Genomic DNA, 23,797 nt, shown 5'->3' with positions numbered 1-23,797 from the left:
TGCAGAGAGCGAGCAAGTCGGCATTCCAGGCCGGTGGGAACCGCTAGGGCGGAAGCAGGGAAGCTAGAAAGAGCCTGGTGTTCCAGGGGTCCAGCTCTAGAAACGGGTGGCGGCTGGGAAAACAGGCCCACACCTCCACCTTGTGGCCAATTGGGAATTTGCAGGCACGGCCTCTCAGAAACTACTTAAGGGCGCTTTGGGTGAAGTTGGATGGGGTGCTGCAGACGGAAAGCATGAGGGGCGAGTTGAAAGGGCCCAGATCGAGTGCTCTGACTGAGAAAACAAAGCGGGGGTGGTGGTGGTGGTGGTGAGAGTTATCATAGAGACACTGTCCACTGTTTCAGAAAAATTCCCCAGAGCAAGGAGTGCACAAAGTGGATCTTTACTATTATTATTATTATTATTTTATTATTGTTATTATTATTGAGACAGGGACTCACTCTGTCGCCCAAGCTGGAGTGCAGTGGCGCGGTAATGGCTCACTGTAGCCTCGAACTCCCCGGAGAAAGCGATCCTCCTGCCTCAGCCTCACGTGTAGCCGGGACCACAGGCGTGGGCCACCATGCTTGACTAATTTTTAAATATTTTGTGGAGATTTTTTTTTTTTGAGAGGGAGTTTTGCTCTTGTTGCCCAGGCTGGAGTGCAGTGGCACCATCTTGGCTCACTGCAACCTCTGCCTCCTGGGTTCCAGCGATTCTCCTGCCTCAACCTCCCGAGTAGCTGGGATTACAGGCATGTGCCACCACGCCCGGCTAATTTTTGTATTTTTAGTAGGGACGGGGTTTCTCTATGTTGGTCAGGCCAGTCTTGAACTCCAGACCTCAGGTGGTCCGCCCGCCTTGGCCTCCCAAAGTGCTGGGATTACAGGTGTGAGCCACCACGCCCGGTGGAGACGGGGTTTTGCCATGTTGCCTTGGTCATTATTTATTATTCACTATGTGCCAGGCTCTGTCCTAGGTGCTGGGGACACAGTGGAGAATTAAACAGATGAAGATCTTTGCCCTCATAGGAATTAAACTCGAATGGGGAAATAGGCATTAAGATAGGAAGCAAATTACCAACACTGTGGGCTGAAGAGTGGCCCCCAAAATATATTCACACCTCAATCCCTGGGGTTGTGAATACTACCTTATATGAGGAAAGGGATTTAGCAGATGTAATCAAATGAAGGAGTTTGAGAACAGAGATTATCCTGGGTCATCCAGGTGGACCCTAAATGTCATCACAAGGGTCCTTATAAGAGGGAGGCAGAGGGAGATTGATTCAGAAGTTCATGTGAAGACGGAAGCAAGATGCCAGGATGCTGGCTTTGAAGAAGGGAGAAGGGGCTCCTGCAGAGCTCCTCTAGAAGCTGGGGAAGGCAAGGACGTGGATTCTGCTCTAGAGCCTCCAGAGGGGACACAGCACTGCAAACATGGCAGTTTCAGCACTGAAATCATTTCGGGCTTCTGATTTCCATAATTGTAGGACAGTGAATGTGTGATTGAGTGATTGACTTTGTTGCCCAGGCTGGAGTGCAGTGGCACAATCATGGCTCACTACAGCCTCCACCTCCCAGGCTCAAGCGATCCTCCTGCCTCAGCCTCCCAGGTAACTGGGACCACAGGCATGCACCACTACGCCCAGATAATTTAATTGTTTTTTTTTCCTAGAGACAGAGTCTCCCTTTGTTGCCCAGGCTGGTCTCCAACTCCTGGGCTCAAGCAGTCCTCCTGCCTCAGCCTCCTGAAATGCTGGGGTTACAGGCATGAGGCACCCACCTGGCCTTTTCTTTATAAATTACCCAGCCTCAGGTATTCCTTTATTGCAATGCAAAATGGACTAATACAGATGATATGGAACAGATGCACAGAAAATATCTATAAGGACTGTGATGGTTCATACTGTCAACTTGATTGGATTGAAGGATACAAAGTATTGATCCTGGGTGTCATGAGGGTGTTGCCAAAAGAGATTAACATTTGAGGAGGGGAACATCGCACACTGGGGCCTGTTGAGGGCTGGGGGACAAAGGGGGAGGGGAGCATTAGGACAAATACCTAATGCATGTGGGGGTTAAAACCTAGATGACGGGTTGATAGGTGCAGCAAACCACCATGGCACACGTTTACCCATGTAATAAACCTGCATGTTCTGCACATGTATCCCAGAACTTAAAGTAAAATAAAATAAAATAAAACAAACAAACAAACAAAAAAACATTTGAGTCAGTGGGCTGGAAAAGGCAGACCCACCCTTAATCTGGACGGGCACAATCTAATCAGCTGCCATTGTGGCTAGAATATAAGCAGGCAGAAAAATGTGAAAAGAGAGACTGGCCTAGCCTCCCAGCCTCCGTCTTTCTCCCGTGCTGGATGCTTCCTGCCCTCGAACATCGGACTCCAAGTTCTTCAGTTCTGGAACTCGGACTGGCTCTCCTTGCTCCGCAATGTGCAGACGGCCTATTGTGGGACCCTTGTGATTGTGTGAGTTAATACTTAATAAACTCCCATATATATATACGGCCTTGGGAGGCCGAGGTGGGCAGGTCACGAGGTCAGGAGTTCGAGGCCAGCCTGGACAACATGATGAAACCCCATCTCTACTAAAAATACAAAAATTAGCTGGGTGTTGTGGCAGACACCCGTAATCCCAGCTACTCGGGAGACTGAGGCAGGAGAATTGCTTGAACCTGGGAGGCAGAGGTTGCAGTGAGCCAAGATCATGCCATTGCACTCCAGCCTGGGCAACAAGAGCAAAACTCCATCTCAAAAAAAAAAAAAAAAAAAAAAGGACGGGGAGCAATCTATGTAGAGAATCAGTTCTGGAAGTAGCGTTACATTTGTATTCTGAAACACTAAGTAGCTGTTTAAAACCTGTTTAAAAGAATGGGTATGTGAAGTATATGCACTGAAGAATACTGTTGTCTGCAACTTATTTTGAAATCAAGAAAATGAGATGGGCTGAGGAATGAATACAGCAAGGTTTCTCAACCTTGACACTATTGACATTTGGGAACCAGATTATTAGTTTATTTTCTGCTCCATCACCCAGGCTGGAGTGCAGTAGCACAATCACTGCTAACTGCATCTGCAAGCTGCTGGGCTCAAGCAATCCTCCCACCTCAGCCTACAGAGCAGCTGGGACCACAGGTACATGGCACCATGCCTGGCTAAGTTTTACTTTTTTTTTTTTTTGAGACGGAGTTTCACTCTTGTTGCCCAGGCCGGAGTGCAATGGTGCGATCTCGGCTCACTTCAACCTCTGCCTCCTAGGTTCAAGTGATTCTCCTGCCTCAGCCTCCCGAGTAGCTGGGACTACAGGCATGTGTCACCATGCCCGGCTAATTTTGTATTTTTAGTATAGATGGGGTTTCTCCATGTTGGTCAGGCTGGTCTCGAACTCTCGACCTCAGGTGATCTGCCCGCCTCAGCCTCTCAAAGTGCTGGGATTACAGGCATGAGCCACCACGCCTGGCGTTTGTTTTGTTTTTTTTGAGACGGAGTCTCGCTCTGTTGCTCAGGCTGGAGTGCAGTGGCATGATCTCTGCTCACTGCAACCTCTGCCTCTGCAAGCATTTCTCCTGCGTCAGCCTCCCAAGCAGCTGGGATTACAGGCGCACACCATCACGCCCAGCTAATTTTTGTATTTTTGTAGAGATGGGGTTTCACCATGTTGGACAGGCTGGTCTTGAACTCCTGACCTCAAGCGATCTGCCCGCCTCAGCCTCCGAAAGTGCTGGGATTACAGGCCTGAGCCACCACGCCTGGCCTCAGACTCATGTGTTTTACTGTAGATAAGTTATGTCAATTTTTTTCTGAAGTCCAGGGAATATGGTTAAGTTAAAAACAATCACTTGCAGATCAATAATTACAGCAGCTTTTATTTACTAAAACAAACAAGCAAATACCAAAAACAAAAAACAAAAAAAAATGTGCATGCTGATATTGACATGCAAATCTATCCTAGAAAGCCAAAGAGCTTGAATAGGGTTTCTCAGACATCTTTGTGGCTCCATGATCAGTGAAAATTTTTTATTGTATTTTATTGTATTTATTTATTTATTTATTTATTTATTTATTTATTTATTTATTTTGAGACAGAGTCTCACACTGTCGCCCGGACTGGAGTGCAGTCGCGAGATCTCGGCTCACTGCAACTTCCTCCTCCCGGGTTCACGCAATTCTCCTGCCTCATCCTCCTGAGTAGCTGGGATTACAGGTGCCCGCTACCACACCTGGGTAATTTTTTGTATTTTTAGTAGAGATGGGGTTTCACTAAGTTGGCCAGGCTGGTCTTGAACTCCTGATCTCATGATCCGCCTGCCTTGGCCTCCCAAAGTGCTGGGATTACAGGTGTGAGCCACTGCGCCCAGCCGATCAGTGAATTTGTTTAAAAATGCAGATTCTTGGGTCTCATCCTAGGCCTCCCAAACTAGAATAGCTGAGGGTGGTGCCCAGGAATCTGCATTTTAACTAGATTTCTTATGCTTGTTAAAAATTGAGAAGCTTAATCTGGGAGAAGAGGGACTGGCGAACAGAGAGACAGTGCAAATTATTTTTATACATTTTAGAGATGATGGGGCTATGGGTGATTTTTATTTGTGTGTGTGTATGTCTGTTTCAGTATTTTCCAAATAAAACAGTAAGAGAATGTCTAGAGAGGGGCTGGAGCAAGATGGCCAAATATAAGTTTCCACCAATCATTTCATCTTCAGGAATACCGCATTTAACAACAATCTACAGGAAAAAAGCACCTTCATACGAACTAAAAATCAGGTAAGCATTTACAATACCTGGTTTTAACTTCATATTGCTGAAGGACACACTGAAGAGGGTAGGAGGACAGTCTTTAGTTGCCAATTCCCGCCATCCTCCATCCCTGGCAGTAGCTGCATGGCACAGAGAGAAGCTGTGTGTTTGGGAGAGAGAGAGTGCAGTGATTTTGAGACTTTGCATTGAACTCAGTGCTGCCCTGTCACAGTGGAAAGCAAAACTGCCCTGAACTCAGCAGACTGTCTGCTCCTGGAGTGAGCATTTTAGACCAGCCCAAGCCAGAGGAGAATCGCCCATCCCAACAGTCGGAATGTGAGGTTTGGCAAGCCACACCACTGTTGGCTAAAGTGCTCTGGGGTCCTAAATAAAGTTGAAAGGCAGTCTAGGTCATGAGGACTGCAACTCCTAGGCAAGTCCTGGTGCTGAGCTGGACTCAAAGCCATTGGATTTGGGGGGCACATGACCTACTAAGACACCAACCTCAGCAGCTAAGGGGCCACTTGTGCCACTCCTTTCCCAAATCCAGGTAGCATACCTTGTGGCTCCAAAAAGGACCCCTTTTCTTCTGTTTAAGGAGAGGAGAGGAAAGTAAAGGGGACTTTGTCTTGCATCTTGGATACCAGCTCAGACACAGTAGGATGGGACACGAGTCAGAGTCATGAGCCTCCCATTCCAGGACTTAGCTTCCAGATGACATTTCTAGACACACCTTGGGCGAGAAGGGAACCAGCTACCCTGAAGGGAAGGATCCAGTCCTGGCAGGCTCTATCACCTGCTGACTCAAGAGCCGTTGGGCCCTGAATAACAAGCAGTGATGCCAGGTACTACATGCTATTGGCCTTCGGTGAGACTCTGAGACATGCTGTCTTCAGGTGAGACCCACCACATTCCCAGCTATGGTGGCTACAGTGAGGGACTCTTTCTGCTTGAGAAACGCAGAGGGAAAAGTAAAAGGAACTTTGTCTTTCAGCTCAGGTACCAGCTCAGACACAGTGGAGGAGAAGTGGGATCTTGGAATCCCTGATGCCAGATCTTGGCTCTAGGATGGCATTTCTGGAAATTCCCTGGGCCAGAGGGGAGCCCACTGCCCTGAGGGGTGAGTCCTAGGCCTGGCAGCATTCACTAGAAGCTGACTGAAGACTCCTCGGGCCTTGAGTGAACTTTGGCAGAAGCCTGGCAGTACTCCCCTTGAGCCTATGGTTGTGGTAACCATGGGGTGAGGCACCTCTGCCTGTGGCAAAGGGAGGGAAGAGTGGGAAAGACAGTGTCTTGTGATTTTTTTTTTTTTTTTTTGAGACAGAGTTTCGCTCTTCTTGCCCAGGCTGTAGTGCAATGGTGCGATCTTGGCTCACCACAACTTCTGCCTCCCAAGTTCAAGCAGTTCTCCTGAGTAGCTGGGATTACAGGCATGCACCACCATGCCCAGCTAATATTGTATTTTTAGTAGAGACGGAGTTTCACCATGTTGGACAGGCTGGTCTCAAACCCTTGACCTCAGGTGATCCACTCGCCTCAGTCTCCCAAAGTGCTGGGATTACAGGGATGCGCCACCACACCCGGCTGAGCGTCTTGTGATTTGAGAGCCAGTTCAGCCACAGTAGAACAAGACACCAGGTAGATTTCTAAGGTTTTTGACTCCAGTCCCTGGCTTACTGACTGCATTTCTGGACCCACCCAGAGCTTTGGGAAACTTGCTGCCCTGACGAAAAGGATATAAGCCTGGCTGCATTTGGAACCTGCTGGTTTTAGAGCCCTAGGGCCTTAAGCAAATATAGCCAGCAGCCAGGTAGCGGTTATAGTGGGCTTTGGTCGAGACCCAGTGCAGTCCCAGTGCTACTGGCCACAGTGGTGCTTGTGTCACCCTATCCCCACCTCCAGGTGGCTCAGCTCCCTTTGTTTGGGAGAAAGTAAAAGAAGAGAACAAGAGCCTCTGCCTGGTAATCCAGATAATTCTTCTGGATGTTATCCAAGACCACTAAGGCAGTACCTCTATGAGTCTGCAAGAACCGTAGCAGACCGGGTGTGGTGGCTCACGCCTGTAATCCCAACACTCTGGGAGGCTGAGGTGAATGGATCACTTGAGGCCCAGAGTTTGAGACCAGCCTGGCCAACATGATGAAACCTAGTCTCTGCTAAAATCACAAAGATTAGCCAGGCGTGGTGGCACACAGCTGTAATCCCAGCTGCTTGGGAGGCTGAGGCATGAGAATCGCTTGAACCTGAGAGGCAGAGGTTGCCGTGAGCTGAGATCATGACACTGCACTCCAGCCTGGGTGACAGAGTGAGACTCTGTCTCAAAAAAACAAAACAAACAAAAACCACAGCATTAATAGGCTTGGGAGGCCCCCTGATACAGATATGGCTTAGATCACAATCCTCAAGTCCTTTTGAATACCTGGAAAGCCTTCCCAAGAAGGACAGGTACAAACAAGTCTACATGCTGCCTGCCGACCTCAGAGTTCTGGGAAGGTGGAGCGAATGAGTCGGACTATCAAAAATAGTTTAAGGAAAGTATGTCAAGAGACAAGATTAAAATGGATACAGGCCCTTCCTATGGTATTGTTTAAAACAGGTGCACCCCCTCTAAGAAAACAGGACACTCCCCTTATGAAATATTATATCATAGGCCTCCTCCTATGCCGCGAGGGCTTCTGGGTACTCCCCAAGAGTTGGGTGAAATTGAATTGCAGCGACAGCTACAGGCCTTGGGGAAAATTACCGAGACAATCTCAACTTGGGTAAATGAGGTGCCCGGTCAGCTTATTCTCCCCAGTTCACCCTTTTTCTCCAGGTGACCGCGTGTGGATCAAGGACTGGAACGTAGCTCCCTTAGGGCCATAGTGGAAGGGACCCCAGACCGTTATCCTGACCACTCCCACGGCTGTGAAGGTAGAAGGAATTCCGGCCGGGATTCACCACAGCTGCGGAAAGCCTGCAGCCACTGGAACCTGGGAGGCCAAACCAGGCCTAGACAATCCCTGCAAAGTAACCCTGAGGAGGACGACAAGCCCTGCTCCAGTCACACCCGGAAGCTGACTGGCCTATTCGCGGCCGAAGCATGAGGAAAATCGTCGTGGGACTTACTTTCCTTATAACACGGACTTGTGTGGTAAAAGCTTCCACTGCTTCTTCCCACACAGAGGACTGCTTTCAGTGCATACCTCAGGTCACTGAGGTAGGACAACAAGTTAAGACAATCTTTTTGTTCTATAGTTATTATGAAGGCCTAGGAATTCCAAAAGGAACATGTTTGTATAATAACACTCAGTACAAAGTCTGTGATCCAGGAAGTGACCAGCCCGATGTGTGCTATGACCCCTCTGAACCTCCCATTTCCACAGTTTTTGAAATAAGATTAAGGACTGAACACTGGCAGGGACTCATAAATGATACAAGTAAAGTATTAGCCAGAACAGAAGAAAAAGGGGTGCCCAAATGCATAATCTTAAGATTTGACGCTGTGCTGTCATTAATAGCAATAAGTTAGGAGCAGGATGTGGCTCTTTTAATTAGGAAAAAACTACATGACCGAAAATAAGTACATCTGTCATGAATCAGGATTGTGTGGAAAAGAATGTGGGTACTGGTCTTGTGTCATTTAGGCTACTTGGGAAAAAAAAAATGAAAAAGATCCTGTTTTGCTCCAAAAAGGGAAAGGAAGCCTGTCCTGCATGAGTGGAAGCTGCAACCCTTTAAAATTAGTAATCACAAGCCCCTCAGACCCAAAATAGAAAAAAGGAAAATACTTATCTCTAGGCATTGATGGAAAAAGACTAGACCCTAGGGTAAACATTTTAATAAAAGGAGAGGTTCGAACATGCTCTCCAGAGCCAGTATTTCACACTTTCTATGATGAACAAAATGTGCCAGTGCCTGAAATTCCAGGAAAAACTAGACATTTGTTTTTGCAGTTAGCCGAGCATGTAGCCCAGTCTCTAAAAGTCACTTCGTGTTTTGTTTGTGGAGCAACTGTAACAGGAGATCAGTGGCCATGGGAAGCCCGAGAATGAGTTCCTACAGACCCAGTTCCTGATGAATTCTCGGCCCAAAAGAACCACCCTGACAATTTCTGGGTTCTAAAAGCCTCAATTATTGGACAATGTTGCATAGCTAGAGAAGGAAAAGAATTCACTCATCCTGTAGGACAGGTTAGTTGTCTTGGACAAAAACTGTATAATGGTACCACAAAAACAGTTACATGGTGGAGTTCCAATTACACGGAAAAAAATCCATTCCGTAAATTTCCAAAATTGCAGACTGTTTAGGCCCACCCAGAATTCCACTGGGACTGGACTGCCCCTACTGGGTTATACTGGATATGTGGACATAGAGCTTATGCTAAGCTATCTGATCAGTAGACAGGTAGCTGTGTAATTGGCACTATTAAACCATCTTTCTTCCTGCTGCCCATAAAAACAACAAACTCTTAGGATTCCCTGTCTATGCTTCCCGTGAAAAACGAAGCATAGCCATAGGTAACTGGAAAGATGATGATGGCCCCCTGAAAGAATTATACAATACTATGGGCCCGCCACTTGGGCATAAGATGGCTCATAGGGATATTGGACCCCCATCTACATGCTCAACTGAATCATACAGTTGCAAGCTGTTTTAGAAATTATTACTAATTAAACTGGTCAAGCCTTGACTGTTCTTGCCCGGCAAGAGACTCAGATGAGGAATGCTATCTACCAAAATAGACTAGCTCTCGACTACTTGCTAGCAGCTGAAGGAGGAGTTTGTGGAAAATTTAACCTTACTAATTGCTGTCTCCACATAGATGATCAAGGGCAAGTAGTTGAAGACATAGTTAAAGATATAACAAAACTGGCACATGTACAGTGCGAGTGTGGCACGGATTTGATCCTGAGGCCATGTTTGGAAATTGGTTCCCAGCAATAGGAGGGCTTAAAACTCTTATAATAGGAGTTATAATAGTAATAGGAATCCGCTTACTACTCCCTTGTTTGCTACCTATACTTCTTCAAATGATAAAAAGCTTCATCACTACCTTAGTTCACCAGAATGCTTCAGCACGAGTATATTATTTGAATCACTATCAATCTATTGCACAGGAAGACATAAGTAGTAAAAATGAAAGTGAGAACTTCCACTAATACCATGAGTGAGAGTCTCAAAGCGGGGAAATGAGAGAAGAGAGAAAGAGACCCCCCCATATTGTTCTATATTGTTTCATACTCAGTACCTGTTTTAAGAAGAAACAAGGAAGCGAAACCAAAGGCAGGCAGCCCGGCGCCATGCACCAGACCCAAAACCAGACCCAAAACCAGGCCTGGGCCTGCCTGACCTTAGCCTGATAGTTAAAATTCAACCCATGACCTAGCAACCGATTATCCATAAATTCCAGACATTGTATGGAAAGACATTGTGAAACTTCTCGTTCTGTTCTGCTTTGCTCTGATTACTGGTGCATGCAGCCCCTGTCACATACCCCCTAGATTGCTCAATCAATCACGGTCCTTTCATGTAAAATCTTTAGTGTTGTGAACCCTTAAAAGCGACAGAAATTGTGCACTCAACAAGCTTGAATTTTAAGATGCTAGTCTGCTGATGCTTCCAGCTGATTAAAAGCTACTTCCTTCACTATCTCGGTGTCTGTGGGGTTTTCTCCACAGCTTGTCCTGCTACACTAGAATAGCATATCCAGTGAAAATATTCTTCAAGCATGAAGGAGAAATAAAGACTCTCCCAGAACAAACAAAGCTGAGGAATTTCATCAACACCGGATCTGTCCTACAAGAAATGCTAAAGGGAGTACTTCAGTCAGAAAGAAAAGCATGTTAATGAGTGATAAAAAATCATCTGGGCCAGACGCGGTGGCTCACGTGTGTAATCCCAGCACTTTGGAAGGCAGAGACATGTGGATCACGAGGTCAGGAGATCGAGACCATCCTGGCTAACACGGTGAAACCCCGTCTCTACTAAAAATACAAAAAAATTAGCCGGATGTGGTGGTGGGTGCCTGTAGTCCCAGCTACTCGGGAGGCTGAGGCAGGAAAATGGCATGAACCCGGGAGGTGGAGCTTGCAGTGAGCTGAGATCGCACCACTGCACTCCAGCCTGGGTGACAGAGCAAGACTCCGTCTCAAAAAAAAAAAAAAAAATCATCTGAAGGTACAAAACTCACTGCTAATAGTAAGCACACAGAAAAACATGGTGTATTGTAACAGTATAACTATGGTGTGTGAACAACTCTTAAGTAGAAAAACTAAAGGATGAACCAATCAAAAATAATAACTACAACAACGCTTCAAGACATAGACAGTACAATAAGATATAAATACAAACAACAAAAAGTTAAAAAGTTGGGGACAAAGTGAAGGTGTAGAGTTTTTACTAATTTTCTTATTGTTTGTTGGTTTGTTGGTTTGTTTATGCAAACAGTGTTAAGTTTATGTTGTCAGCTTAAAATAATGGGTTATAAGATAGTATTTATGGCAGGGCACAGTGGCTTACGCCTGTAACCCCAGCACTTTGGGAGGCCAAGGCAGGCGGATCATGAGGTCAGGAGATCGAGGCCATCCTGGCTAACACGGTGAAACCTCGTCTCTACTAAATATACAAAAAAAAAAAAAAAAAAATAGCCAGGTGTGGTGGCAGGCACCTGTAGTCCCAGCTACCCTGGAGGCTGAGGCAGGAGAATGGCGTCAACCCAGGAGGCAGAGCTTGCAGTGAGCCGAGATCGAGCCACTGCACTCCAGCTTGGGTAACAGAGCGAGATTCCATCTCAAAAAAAAAAAAAAAAAAAGACAATATTTGCAAGCCTCATGGTAACCTCAAATCAAAAAACATACAACAGATACAAAAAAAAAAGCAAAAAATTAAATCATATGACCAAGGAAAATTATCTTCTCTAAAAGGAAAACAGAGGCCAGGTGTGGTGGCTCACATGTGTAATCCCAGCACTCTGGGAGGCTGAGGCGGGTGGATCACCTGAAGTCAGGAGTTTGAGATCAGTATGGCCAACATCATGAAACCAAATCTCTATTAAAAATACATAAATTAGCCAGGTGCAGTGGCACGCGCCTGTAGTCCCAGCTACTCGGGAGGCTGAGGCGAGAATCGCTTGAATCCAGGAGGCAGAGGTTGCAGTGAGCCGAGATTGCACCACGGCACTCCAGCCTGGGCGACAATGAGATTCTGTCTCAAAAATAAATGAATAAATAAATAAATAAATAACATGAAAGAAGGACAGAAAGAAGAGAATACTACAAAACAACCAGAAAACAAGTAACAAAATGTCAGGAGGACGTCCTTATCAAGAACAACATTGAATGTAAATGGACTAAACTCTCGAATAAAAAGATATAGAACGGATGAATGGATGAAAAAGAAGACCCAATGTTTTGTTGCTTACAAGAAACATACTTCACCTACAAATAAGAGTCTGGGTCCTCAGACGCAGGCAGTCCCACTTCATATGGGAGGGCAGGCTTATAATCAGTTCCTCTCTCCCTTCCCCAGGCCCTTCACAGACACCTGCTGGTCCCTCCCACTTGGCCAAGGAAACACTGTGGTTAATGAGTCTCAGAAAAGTGATGTGAAAGTGAGAAGTAAAAGTGACAGAGGCTAAAGGATGGGGGGTGGGAGGCAGTCCCAGCAGAGGACACCCCACGACCACCACCCCCCAAGTAGGGAATGAGGAGCACTAAGGACACAGGATACAACTTTTGTTGACACTACACAAATACTCTGCACAAATCTTCAAAAACATCCTTGTCCCCCTGTGTCACCTGCTGAGAGACCTCGTGTTCTGGTCACCTCCTAAACCGGGAGGTGGGGCATAAACAGGGTGGAGTCACAGGGGAAAGAAAACTAGGAAGCCTGGGTTCACACCCGGCTCCCCAGCAATGTCTCCACCACTGCTGCTGCTACCCTTGCTGCTGCTGCTGCCTCTGCTGAATGTGGAGCCTGCTGGGGCCACACTGATCCGGTATGGTGACCCCATTTGCCACCCCCAAACCTGGGAGGGATTCTCTGCTTTTTGCCCTTTAAGTCTGGGGCTCCTGGTTCAGTGATTCCCAAACCTGGCACCCAGGATCCTTGACTCTTCTTTCTTGGCTTTCCAGATCTCTAAAGTGGGCTCTCACCCCGAGGGCTCTACTCTGACATCTCCTAAGATCAGAGCTCCCTTTTATTTATTTATTTTTTTTGAGACAGAGTTTCACTCTTGTTGCCCAGGCTGGAGTGCAATGGCACGATCTTGGCTCACCACAACCTCCACCTCCTGGGTTCAAGCGATTCTCCTGCCTCAGCCTCCCAAGTAGCTGGGATTACAGGCATGTGCCACACCACCCCGGCTAATTTTGTATTTTTAGTAGAGATGGGGTTTCTCCATGTTGATCAGGCTGGTCTTGAACTCCCGACCTTAGGTGATCTGCCCACCTCAGCCTCCCAAAGTGCTGGGATTACAGGCGTGAGCCACCACGTCTGGCTCAGAGCTCCTTTTTTAAAATAATTTTTTTCTTTTTATTTATTTATTTGTTGAGATTGGGTCTTGCTGTGTCACCCAGGCTGGAGTGCAGTAGTGCGATCATGGCTCACTGCAGCCTCAAACTCGTGGTCTTAAGCCATTCTTCCACCTCAGCCTCCCAAGTAGCTGGGACTACAGGCATGTGTCACCATGCCCAGCTAATTTTTGAAATTTTTTGTAAAGAAGAGGGTATCCCTATGTTTTGCAGGCTGGTCTCCATGTCCTGGGCTCGAGCAATCCTCTCACCTCAGCTTCCCAAAGTGCTGGAATTACAGACGTGAACTACCATGTCCAGCCCAGAGCCCTTTTAAGTCCCAGATCCTCCAACACTGAGACTCTTTTTTTGTTTTTTTTGTTTTTTTTTTTTTTTGAAACGGAGTCTCACTCTGTTGCCAGGCTGGAGTGCAGTGGCGTGGTCTCGGCTCACTGCAACCTCCGCCTCCTGGGTTCAAGCGATTCTCCTGCCTCAGCTTCCCAAGTAGCTGGGATTACAGGCACGCACCACCATGCCTGGCTAATTTTTGTATTTTTAGTAGAGATGGGGTTTCACCATGTTGGCCAGGCTGGTCTTGAACTCCTGAACTCGCGATCTGTCCGCCTCGGCCTCCCAAAGTGCTGGGATTACAGGCGCGAGCCACCACACCCGGCCTTCACTAAGACTCTTGAGTGAGGAACCCTCCCCTTCTTCTCTGGATATGTTTTTTTGGAGGCCTCTGCAGATCCCACTCCAAGCTCTGATGACCAGTTATGGGGGTCTCCAGACATGTGACACATTCCCGCCATCTTGGAGACCAAGGCATGTGACATTTAAACTAAGACTCCCCCACATTCACACCCTCCAAATTGTTTAGGCCTCAAGAAGTCTATTTTTTTGTCTGAGCACAATGGCTCACCACTGTCAACTCAGCACTTTGGGAGGCCAAGGTAGGAGAACTGCTTGAGGCTAGGAGTTCAAGACTAGCTTGGGCAACATAGTGAGACCCCCAGTCTCTACAGAAAAAAAAAATCAGCCAGGCACGGTGACAGGTGCCTGTAGTCTTAGCTACTTGGGAGGCTGAGGTGGGAGGACCATTTGAACCCAGGGTTTTGAGGCTGCAGTGAGCTATGATTGAGCTACTGTACTCTAGCCTGGGCGACAAGGGAGGTCCTGTCTCAAAAAAAAAAGAAGTCCAGTTTTGGGGACCCCACCCAAGAAGTTCTCCCCTACCTTACCTCTGATGCTTCCCCAATTTCTCCCTTCCCCTCTTCTCTTCTCTTCTCCTTACCCCTTGGGGCTCTTCGCAGGGGGAGGGGTGTATTTTCCGGAAAGTGTTTTCCCCACTTCTCGTTCTTGTGCCTTTCAAAGACTGAGTCATGAGGGGTGAGGGCAAAGGTGTGAGTGAGGGTGTCATGCTCCAAGGAGTGACTAAAATTGGGTACAAAAATATTACTGCAGGCTGGGCGTGGTGCCTTATGCCTGTAATCCCAGCTCTTTGGGAGGCCGAGGCAGGTAGATCACAAGGTCAGGAGATCGAGACCATCCTGGCTAACATGGTGAAACCCCAACTCTACTAAAAATACAAAAAAATTAGTCGGGCGTGGTGGTGGGCGCCTGTAGTCCCAGGTACTCAGGAGGCTGAGGCAGGAGAATGGCGTGAACCTGGGAGGCGGAGCTTGCAGTGAGCCAAGATCATGGCACTGCACTCCAGTCTGGGCAACAGAGCGAGACTCCATCTCAAAAAAAAAAAAAAAAAAAATTACTGCATGAGGCCAGCCATGGTGGCTCACACCTGTAATCCTAGCACTATGGAAGGCAGAGGCCTGGAGGATTGCTTGAGGCCAAGAGTTCAAGACCAACCTGGCCAACATAGTGAGACCCCATCTCTTTCTACAAAAAAATCATTAAATATAAAATTTATTTTAAAAATTACTGCACATTATGTTTGTTAACCAGCTTTTTTTTAAGATTTTCTTTTTTTGTAGAGATGGGGGGTCTCACTATGTTTCCTAGACTGGTCATGAACTCCTGGCCTCAAGTAATCCTCCCACCTCAGTAAGATCTTTGAATAAGTAAGGATTTACAATCTGAAATTCTCCCAGGACTCTGAGAGTATAGATGTTGCTGGTGTAAGGTTCAATGAATTCATCATTCCCTATTCATCTGCTTTGCAAACCTAATATATCACGGACATTTTCCAAGTCAATGCAAAGAACAGTGAGTCTCAGAATGTTGTCTCAAAACCAATAGCATTAGCATGGCCCAGGACCTTGTTAGAAATGCAAATTCTCAAGCCCCATCCCAGATCTACTTAAAAATTAAGAGATCTGAATTTGAACCAGCCCTCTGAGTCTGGGCTTGGCAAACACTGAGCCTGAGGGTCAAACCCTGCGTGCTATTTCCCTTTTACAAATAAGCTAAAGGGAATCTAGGCCAGATGTAGTGGCTCATGCCTGTAACCCCAACACTTTGCAGGGCCGAGGCAGAATTGCTTGGGGCCAAGAATTTGAGACCAGCCTGGGCAACTTAGCAAGAACTTATCTCTACAAAAAATGAAAAAAAAATTAGCTAGGATGTGGTGGCATATGCCTGATTCCAGCTACTTGGCAGGCTGAGACAAGATGACCTTTGAGCCTAGGAGTTTGAGACTGCAGTGAGCCACAATCGTGTCATTGCTCTCCAGCCTGGGCAACAGAGTGAGACCCTGTCTCTAACAAAACTGGAGTCAGCATGCGCATTCATTTCCATAGCATCTGTTGTCTGCAGTTGCTTTCATGCTATCTGGACAGATTTGAATAGTTACCACAGAGACTGTCTGGCCTGCAAAGCCTCTACACAAAGATTTGCCCAACACCACTGCTGTAGGTGATTTTGGGTCATGCTAAATAAAGTTTGAGAATGACTGGTATAGACAGCTACTTCCTCCTTCTTAGAGGTCAAATGGGGTTCCATTCTATGTATGTTCCAAAGCAGAACTAAGCTGTACCCATTGTTGGCCACTGTAACCGCCTAGCTGGTTCTTTCTGCCTGCTGCCCAGATACAGCCAATTTATCAAGATAGGAAAGCGGCAATAGAGAAAGAGTTTAATTTATGCCGAGCCACTGGCTGAGCAGGAGACCAGAGTTTTATTATTACTCAAATCAGAGGTGGGCATGGCAGCTCACGCCTATAATCCCAGCACTTTGGGAGGCCGAGGCGGGTGGATCACCTGAGGTTAGGAGTTCAAGACCAGCCTGGCCAACATGATGAAACCCCGTCTCTACTACAAATAGAAAAACTAGCTGAGTATGGTGGTTGGTGCCTGTAATCCCAGCTACTTAGGAGGCTGAGGGAGGAGAATCACTTGAACCCAGGGGGTGGAGGTTGCAGTGAGCTGAGATCATGCCAATGTACTCCAGCCTGGGTGACAGAGTGAGACTCCATCTCATAAAAAAACAAAATGAAAACAACAAATTAGCCTCCCCTAACATTTGGAGGCCAGGGTTTTTCAAGGATAGTTTGTCAGGCCTGGGAATGGGTGCTGCTGATTGGTCAAGGATGTAATCATTCATAGGGGCCTGGAAAATAGTCTGCTTCTGGGTGGAGCCACAGGACTGGTTGGCAGGTCTGGGTGGCATCACCAGAAATGCAAAAACCCTTAGTCTCAAAAGGCCAATCAGGTTCTACAGTAGTGATGTAATCTGCAGGAGTAATTGGGGAAGCTGCAAATATTTTGACCTCTGGAATAATGACTGGTAATCATTTATGTCTGCACCTTAGCAGAATTCATGCTCCTCTCATCCTCCTATCCTGGTGGTACTTCATTAGCTTTACAAAGGTGGTTTAGTTTTGGGGATGGACTATTACCATTTAAACTATAAACTGTCTCCCAAAGTTAGCTTGGCCTAAGCCCAGGAATGACCAAAGGCAGTTTGGAAGTTAAAGGCAAGGTAGCGGTTGTTTAGATCAGATCTCTTTCACTGTCCTAATTTTCTCACTTATAGTTTTTGCAAAGGCAGTTCATCATTGGACTGTCTCCAGTTTCCAAAATTAGGCACAGCCTCATAAACCCACCTCTGTGCACTCATCCAGTGATCTCCTATAGATGAAATTCTGGGTTGTGTTAAATGGTGGGTACAATTTTCGAGCATTTGATACACATTTGCAAACCTAATCAACAATAAGTATTCTCAGTTCTTTGCCAATCTGTATGGTGAAACAAGGTTTCTCACTGTTGTCATTTGTATTTTTTTGATGACTGTTGATGACATCTTTCCATGTATTTAGAATTTATTTGTACTTCTTTTGCAATTTTATGTCCTTTGTCCATTTTCCTAATGAGCGTCAAGAACTATGAAGTTAGTTTGCCATAGTTTCATGGCTGCTCATAGAAGACCCAAGACTCCCAAGTCAGAGACAAAGGGCAGTTTATTACTCCCAGCAATAGTAGTAGCAAGAGTATTAGTACGTGTGCCAGTTTTTTCTTTCTTTTTTCTTTTTTTGTTTCTTTTTTGAGACAGGGTCTTGTTCTGTTGCTCAGGCTGGAGTGCAGTGGCATGATTATAGCTCACTGTAACCTTGAATTCCTGGGCCTCCCAAGTAGCTAGGACTACAGGCATGTGCTACCAGACCTGGCTTTCTTATTTTTTGTAGAGACAGGGTCTCACTATGTTGTCCAGGCTGGTCTCAAACTCCTGGCCTCAAGCAATCCTCCCACCTCGGCCTCTCATGGTGCTGGGATTACAGGCATGAGCCACCACAGCTGGCCTATTTTTCTGAGCCCGTTTCCACAAGATGAAATGAAGAAGGCCAGATGATACCTGCACATGCACTGTGGTGCATGATATTAATAGAACCTTGAGCATAGGGAGCTTAAATCTTTTATAAGGCATCATAAGCCTGCCTTCCCTTTGCTCCAGAAAGAGATGCTATCTCTCTTCCAAGGCTGTTCACTAAACAAAATCCTTCAAAAGACAAGTCAGTGCTCTGCAGACATGTGAGAGACTCAAGAAAAACTGTCTCCCAAGACTGGGTTATCTTGTTATTTATTTGTAGAAGCTCTTTGCATATTAGGAATATTAACTCTTAATATACAACTTATAATTATTTCCCCCAGATTTTTTGTCCTTGCCTTTATTTACAGCTTTGTGTGTGTATGTAGAGGGGAAGTACAAGGGTTTAAAATTTATTTATTGTATTTATTTATTTATTTTAGATACAGGGTCTTGCTTTGTTGCCCAGGCTGGGAGTGCAGTTGCAAGATCATAGCTCACTGTAGCTGTAGACTTGAACTCCTGGGCTCAACCAATCCTCCCGCTTCAGCCTCCTAAGAAGCTGGGATTATAGGTGTGTGCCACCACACCTGGCTAATTTTTGTATTTTTAGTAGAGACAGCGTTTCAACATGTTGCCCAGGCTGGTCTCGAACTCCTGAGCTCAAGTAATCTGCCTGCTTTTGCCTCCCACAGTGCTGGGATTATAGGCGTGAGCCATGGTGCCTGGCCAACAGGTGTCAATTTTGAGTCACACTTATTAATATTTTCCCCCATGATTTTTGATCCTGCCTTCATGCTTAGAAAAGCTTTCCTCAGGCCAGGCACGGTGGCTCATGCTGTTGTGGCTCAGGCCGAGGCAGGCAGATCATGAAGTAAAGAGATCAAGACCATCCTGGCCAACACAGTGAAACTCTGTCTACAAAAATTAGCTGGTGGCACGTGCCTGTAATCCCATCTACTCAGGAGGCTGAGGCAGGAGAATCACTTGAACCTGGGAGGCAAAAGCGGCAGTGAGCCGAGATCACACCACTGCACTCCATCCTGGTGACAGAGCAAGACTCTGTCTCAGCCGGGCGCGGTGGCTCACACCTGTAATCCCAGCACTTTGGGAGGCTGAGGCAGGTGGATCACCTGAGGTCAGGAGTTCGAGAGCAACCTGGCCAACATTGCGAAACCCCGTCTCAACCAAAAATACAAAAATTAGCTGGGCGTGGTGGTGCGCGCCTGTAGTCCCAGCTACTCGGGAGGCTGAGGCAGGAGAATCACTGGAACCCAGGAGGCAGAGGTTGCAGGAAAAAAAAGTGAAATTAAGATTTGATGCTTACGTTTTTCCGCAAGGGTGGGGAAATAGTCTCCAACATCATGAACTGAAGCATGCAAGGGCCACCATCCGAGGGCTTCTGCAAAGGTCAGATTTCATGTTAGGGTCTTGGGAAAACTTTGAGAATGTCAATTCCCTGGGAATGGCTTATTTTAAGGACTTGGATACCATTGGGAAGTTCTGTTTGGGATGGTTTGTTCCTGTAAAGTCTTTGGGGATATCTGTCATCATGGTTTCTGTGCTAGGGTTTCCCGGAGGTTGTTATTGTAGGGTTTCTGGTAATGACTCCTATTGTAGCGCCTTGGAAATGTTGAATTTGTCATCATATTCCATTTGGGTAAGTCTATTTTAGAGGGTCTCCAGGAAGGGCGGCTTCCTAATTCTCATCATCTTCATACCCTACAGGATCCCTCTTCGTCAAGTCCACCCTGGACGCAGGACCCTGAACCTACTGAGGGGATGGGGAAAACCAGCAGAGCTCCCCAAGTTGGGGGCCCCATCCCCTGGGGACAAGCCTGCCTCGGTACCTCTCTCCAAATTCCTGGATGTGAGTCACAGCCCTACACAGCCCCCACTCCTGTGCCCTTGAGCCAAACTCTTCATTGACTCTGTCTCTTCTTTTGCCTCCTCAGGCCCAGTATTTTGGGGAAATTGGGCTGGGAACGCCTCCACAAAACTTCACTGTTGCCTTTGACACTGGCTCCTCCAATCTCTGGGTCCCGTCCAGGAGATGCCACTTCTTCAGTGTGCCCTGCTGTGAGCTTCTATGTGGGAGAATAAGGCTGAATGGGGGTGAAGGGAGAAGGCGGGGCTGGGCCTCAGCTTCCCAAAGGTTTTTGAGGAACTGTTCTTTTCTGACACCCTCAAAGGTCAGAAGGTTAAAGGGGCAGAAGGCATTCGGAAAGCTCCCCTCCCACAGTGACACCTCTCTGACTTCTGACCTAGGGTTCCACCACCGCTTCAATCCCAATGCCTCCAGCTCCTTCAAGCCCAGTGGGACCAAGTTTGCCATTCAGTATGGAACTGGGCGGGTAGATGGAATCCTGAGTGAGGACAAGCTGACTGTGAGTGGCCTTTGACTCCAGGAAGCCTCGAGCCTGGGAGAACCCTGTTGTCTAAGATCATCTGGCTTAGGGAGGGGCTTGAGGTGCAGGGGCTTCCTGAGCCGATGGATGGGGCTTCTCAAGGAGGGGGAGGGGTTCCTGGGTGAAGGGATAGGAATTCTCTCAAGTCCAGAGGCAAAGTTTGCTAAGCAGTTGGGGGCTTGGGTCCAGATGTCCCCAGACCTGGGATTAATGCTTTGGTTTGGGAGACCTCAGGACATGTGGTTATTGTCCTCCCAAAAGTAACTGGTCACATCTCAATCTACCCCTAGATTGGTGGAATCAAGGGTGCATCCGTGATTTTCGGGGAAGCTCTGTGGGAATCCAGCCTGGTCTTCACTGTTTCCCGCCCCGATGGGATATTGGGCCTCGGTTTTCCCATTCTGTCTGTGGAAGGAGTTCGGCCCCCGCTGGATGTACTGGTGGAGCAGGGGCTATTGGATAAGCCTGTCTTCTCCTTTTACTTCAACAGGTGCTGGGGAGGGTGCACCTATCTATGAGTCCTATTCCTCAGAAGGAAGTGAGGCCCTCCTTCAGGAAGTCTCTTACTCCATAAAGAAAGTCCCAGTTCAGGCACGGTGGCTCATGCCCGTAATCCCAGCAATTTGGGAGGCTGAGGCAGATTGATCACCTGAAGTCAAGAGTTCCAGACCAGCCTGGCTAACATGGTGAAACCCCATCTGTACTAAAACTATAAAAATTAGCTGGGTGCGGTGGCACATGCCTGTAATCCCAGCTACTTGAGAGGCTGAGGCAGGAGAATTGCTTGAATCCGGGAGGTGGAGGTTGCAGTGAGCCGAGATCGCACCACTGCTCTCCAGTCTGGGTGACAGAGAGAGACCGTCTCCAAAAAAAAAAAAAAAAAAAAAAAATCAATCCCACCCTTCATTCAGGAAGTAGCCACCTACCTAACAGAAGAAACACCTCAACCCTATTCATAAGCCCCAGAGCTTAAGTGACAACTTAAGACATATTAAAGAAACTCACCAACAGTTCAATATGCTGAGTTTCAAAATCAAACTAGGAAATTCTATGCCCCACCCAACCAAATACTCAGGAACCTTCTCTTCACCATAAAGCTCAAATCCCATTTGAGAACACTGACCAGAAGTCAGGAAATGCCTGATTGAATTCACGAAGCCCCACCCACCTGGTAGGAAGGTCAATCTTATGCTCAGAAGTCCCACCCACCACCCGAGAAGTCTTCACTTTCCCTCCCAGGGCCCATCACACACAGTCCAATGCCCACTCAGTTACCCTGACATCCAACCCACTCAAGAAGTTCCACCTAGCTCTCGGTAGGTCCCACTCATTTACATCTTCCAGGAAGTTTCCATCCCCGTTCCCATCACTCTCAGCCAGCTCAGGAAGTCTAACACCTTTCTAGATACCACAACAGGCAATTCAGAAAGTCTATGCACCTTCCCAGGAAGCCACCCCACTCCTGTACAAGTCACACCTTCGAGCCAATTCTGAGACTCCACTGGTCTGCTTGGTTACTATGATATTCAGCTCAGGAATTTCCCCCAAAAGCTCTACCTTCCACAGCCAAATGAAGAAGTCTCCTCTCCACTTCAGGAAGTATCCATCATCCTAAAGTCCTAACTTCCATCAAGAAAAGCACCATTTCCCTTCATTTCTTGTTTCCAGTCCCAACATCTCGGCCCTGCCTGCATTCCACTGCCCCAACTAGAACCCCAAAAATGACCCAATTGGCAGGAAGTCCCATCCCTGGCCATTCCTAGGGCTGGCGGGGGAGGGCTGGCGACAATGACCTCTACACTCTGCCCCTGCAGGGACCCTGAAGTGGCTGATGGAGGAGAGCTGGTCCTGGGGGGCTCAGACCCGGCACACTACATCCCACCCCTCACCTTCGTGCCAGTCACAGTCCCCGCCTACTGGCAGATCCACATGGAGCGGTGAGGGACTTGGTCTCCTGGGTCTGGAGCTGGAGGCCTGGACTCCTAGGACCCTGCCTCTAATGACTGCTTCCTTCCCCCTCAGTGTGAAGGTGGGCTCACGGCTGACTCTCTGTGCCCAGGGCTGTGCTGCCATCCTGGATACAGGCACACCTGTCATCGTAGGACCCACTGAGGAGATCCGGGCCCTGCATGCAGCCATTGGGGGAATCCCCTTGCTGGCTGGGGAGGTGAGGTCCCAGTCTCTGGTGGGTGTGTCCTGGGGAAGATGATGGCAATTCCATGGCGAACACTGCGGCCTGAGGATGGGAAGCAGGTAGCTAGAGCGTATCCAGGACAGAGGGGACTGGGCTTCTTAAGTGACATGCCAGAGAGTGGTGGGAGGAAGCAAAGATACTTCCCAAGTGTCTATGCTAAGTGGCTCAGTGGATGGTGAAGTAGGGGTGGGAGTGGGGGGGGGGTTGTTGGGGGAGATGATAATGCAGTTTTGTTTGGGACTAGATGAGAGGAGCCTAGGCAACAGGGCTGTCCACACACGGTGCTGAATACCCAGGTGCTCAATATGAACATTACTCCATGGCACTGGGGAGCCACGGACGGGATTTGAGCAGAGCAGGAATCTCCCATCTTCACTTGTTCCTCTCCTCCACCAGTACATCATCCGGTGCTCAGAAATCCCAAAGCTCCCCGCAGTCTCACTCCTCATTGGGGGGGTCTGGTTTAATCTCACGGCCCAGGATTACGTCATCCAGGTAGGTGTCCGTCATAATGACGCCACAGTGATGTAATATGACTGGAGTTGAGAGGGTGGAGCTGGTAGTTGGACATCACTAGGGCCGGAAGGGGCCACAGAAACATTTCTTGTCCCCGGGGTTGGGGGCGGAGAGAGCACGGACTCCCAGGGAAATGGTGGTTCCTGCGGCCTGGACACCCAGTTGCCGCCTTGTCGCCTTGCAGTTTGCTCAGGGTGACGTCCGCCTCTGCTTGTCCGGCTTCCGGGCCTTGGACATCGCTTCGCCTCCAGTACCTGTGTGGATCCTCGGCGACGTTTTCTTGGGGGCGTATGTGACCGTCTTCGACCGCGGGGACATGAAGAGCGGCGCACGAGTGGGACTGGCGCGCGCTCGCCCTCGCGGAGCGGACCTGGGAAGGCGCGAGACCGCGCAGGCGCAGTACCGCGGGTGCCGCCCAGGTGATGCGCATGCGCACCGGGTAGCAGAGCTAGCGCTACTCAGTAAAAATCCAATATTTCCATTGAACGAACCTGCCTAGGTTGCTTCTTTTCAGAGCGTACTTTTTGAAGAGAAAGCTTTGTGCATGGACCCACGGAGTTGAGGAAGAGAGGGAGGCGAAGGGTATCACCCCTTTTCTCCACGGCGCACCCTTGTGATGGGCCTTGTACTACGAGTCCCATGAAGGCCCTCGCCTACGCTGCCTTTCGTCAAAGGCTCCTGGCTCCGTGGAGCATCACGGT

The 23,797-nt window shown here is 47.9% G+C and overlaps 1 long non-coding RNA gene and 1 pseudogene across 3 annotated transcripts in view, besides 4 other annotated features; one reads left to right on the top strand and one right to left on the bottom strand.

The window, feature by feature from the left end:
* Positions 1-23,797, bottom strand: part of LOC105372437 (uncharacterized) — a 43,757-nt gene that overhangs the window by 15,995 nt on the left and 3,965 nt on the right. Inside the window, exons 2-3 of one of the 2 annotated variants that reach the window (XR_007067299.1) lie at positions 19,306-19,380; positions 4,776-4,891 (exon numbers count right to left, since the gene is read on the bottom strand). This is a non-coding gene — a long non-coding RNA (uncharacterized LOC105372437). Of the gene's footprint in view, positions 1-3,836; positions 4,892-19,305; positions 19,381-23,797 lie in introns of those variants that run through there. The other variant, XR_936023.2, reaches the window with a different exon arrangement.
* Positions 9,912-10,061: an enhancer, noted in NCBI's record as "active region_14982". NCBI's record gives its function as "activates an Ori minimal core promoter by ATAC-STARR-seq in GM12878 lymphoblastoid cells {active_cell/tissue: GM12878}" and the evidence as "EXISTENCE:reporter gene assay evidence [ECO:0000049][PMID:35858748]".
* On the top strand, positions 12,615-23,582 carry NAPSB (napsin B aspartic peptidase (pseudogene); annotated as a pseudogene). The gene is made up of 9 exons (NR_002798.2): positions 12,615-12,709; positions 19,707-19,848; positions 19,934-20,057; positions 20,247-20,365; positions 20,677-20,876; positions 22,201-22,323; positions 22,409-22,553; positions 22,977-23,075; positions 23,281-23,582. The product of NR_002798.2 is annotated as a napsin B aspartic peptidase (pseudogene) (transcript).
* Positions 12,694-12,743: an enhancer, noted in NCBI's record as "active region_14981". NCBI's record gives its function as "activates an Ori minimal core promoter by ATAC-STARR-seq in GM12878 lymphoblastoid cells {active_cell/tissue: GM12878}" and the evidence as "EXISTENCE:reporter gene assay evidence [ECO:0000049][PMID:35858748]".
* Positions 14,574-14,813: an enhancer, noted in NCBI's record as "active region_14980". NCBI's record gives its function as "activates an Ori minimal core promoter by ATAC-STARR-seq in GM12878 lymphoblastoid cells {active_cell/tissue: GM12878}" and the evidence as "EXISTENCE:reporter gene assay evidence [ECO:0000049][PMID:35858748]".
* Positions 22,812-23,764: an enhancer, noted in NCBI's record as "H3K27ac-H3K4me1 hESC enhancer chr19:50836875-50837827 (GRCh37/hg19 assembly coordinates)". NCBI's record gives its function as "activates a minimal SCP1, AML or CMV promoter by ChIP-STARR-seq in naive H9 embryonic stem cells {active_cell/tissue: H9 hESC(naive)}" and the evidence as "EXISTENCE:reporter gene assay evidence [ECO:0000049][PMID:30033119]".

This window comes from Homo sapiens, chromosome 19 (genome assembly GCF_000001405.40).
Source record: "Homo sapiens chromosome 19, GRCh38.p14 Primary Assembly".
Taxonomy (NCBI): domain Eukaryota; kingdom Metazoa; phylum Chordata; class Mammalia; order Primates; family Hominidae; genus Homo; species Homo sapiens.
Note: the sequence above shows the minus strand (reverse complement) of the source record. Positions and strands in the feature narration are given on the sequence as shown.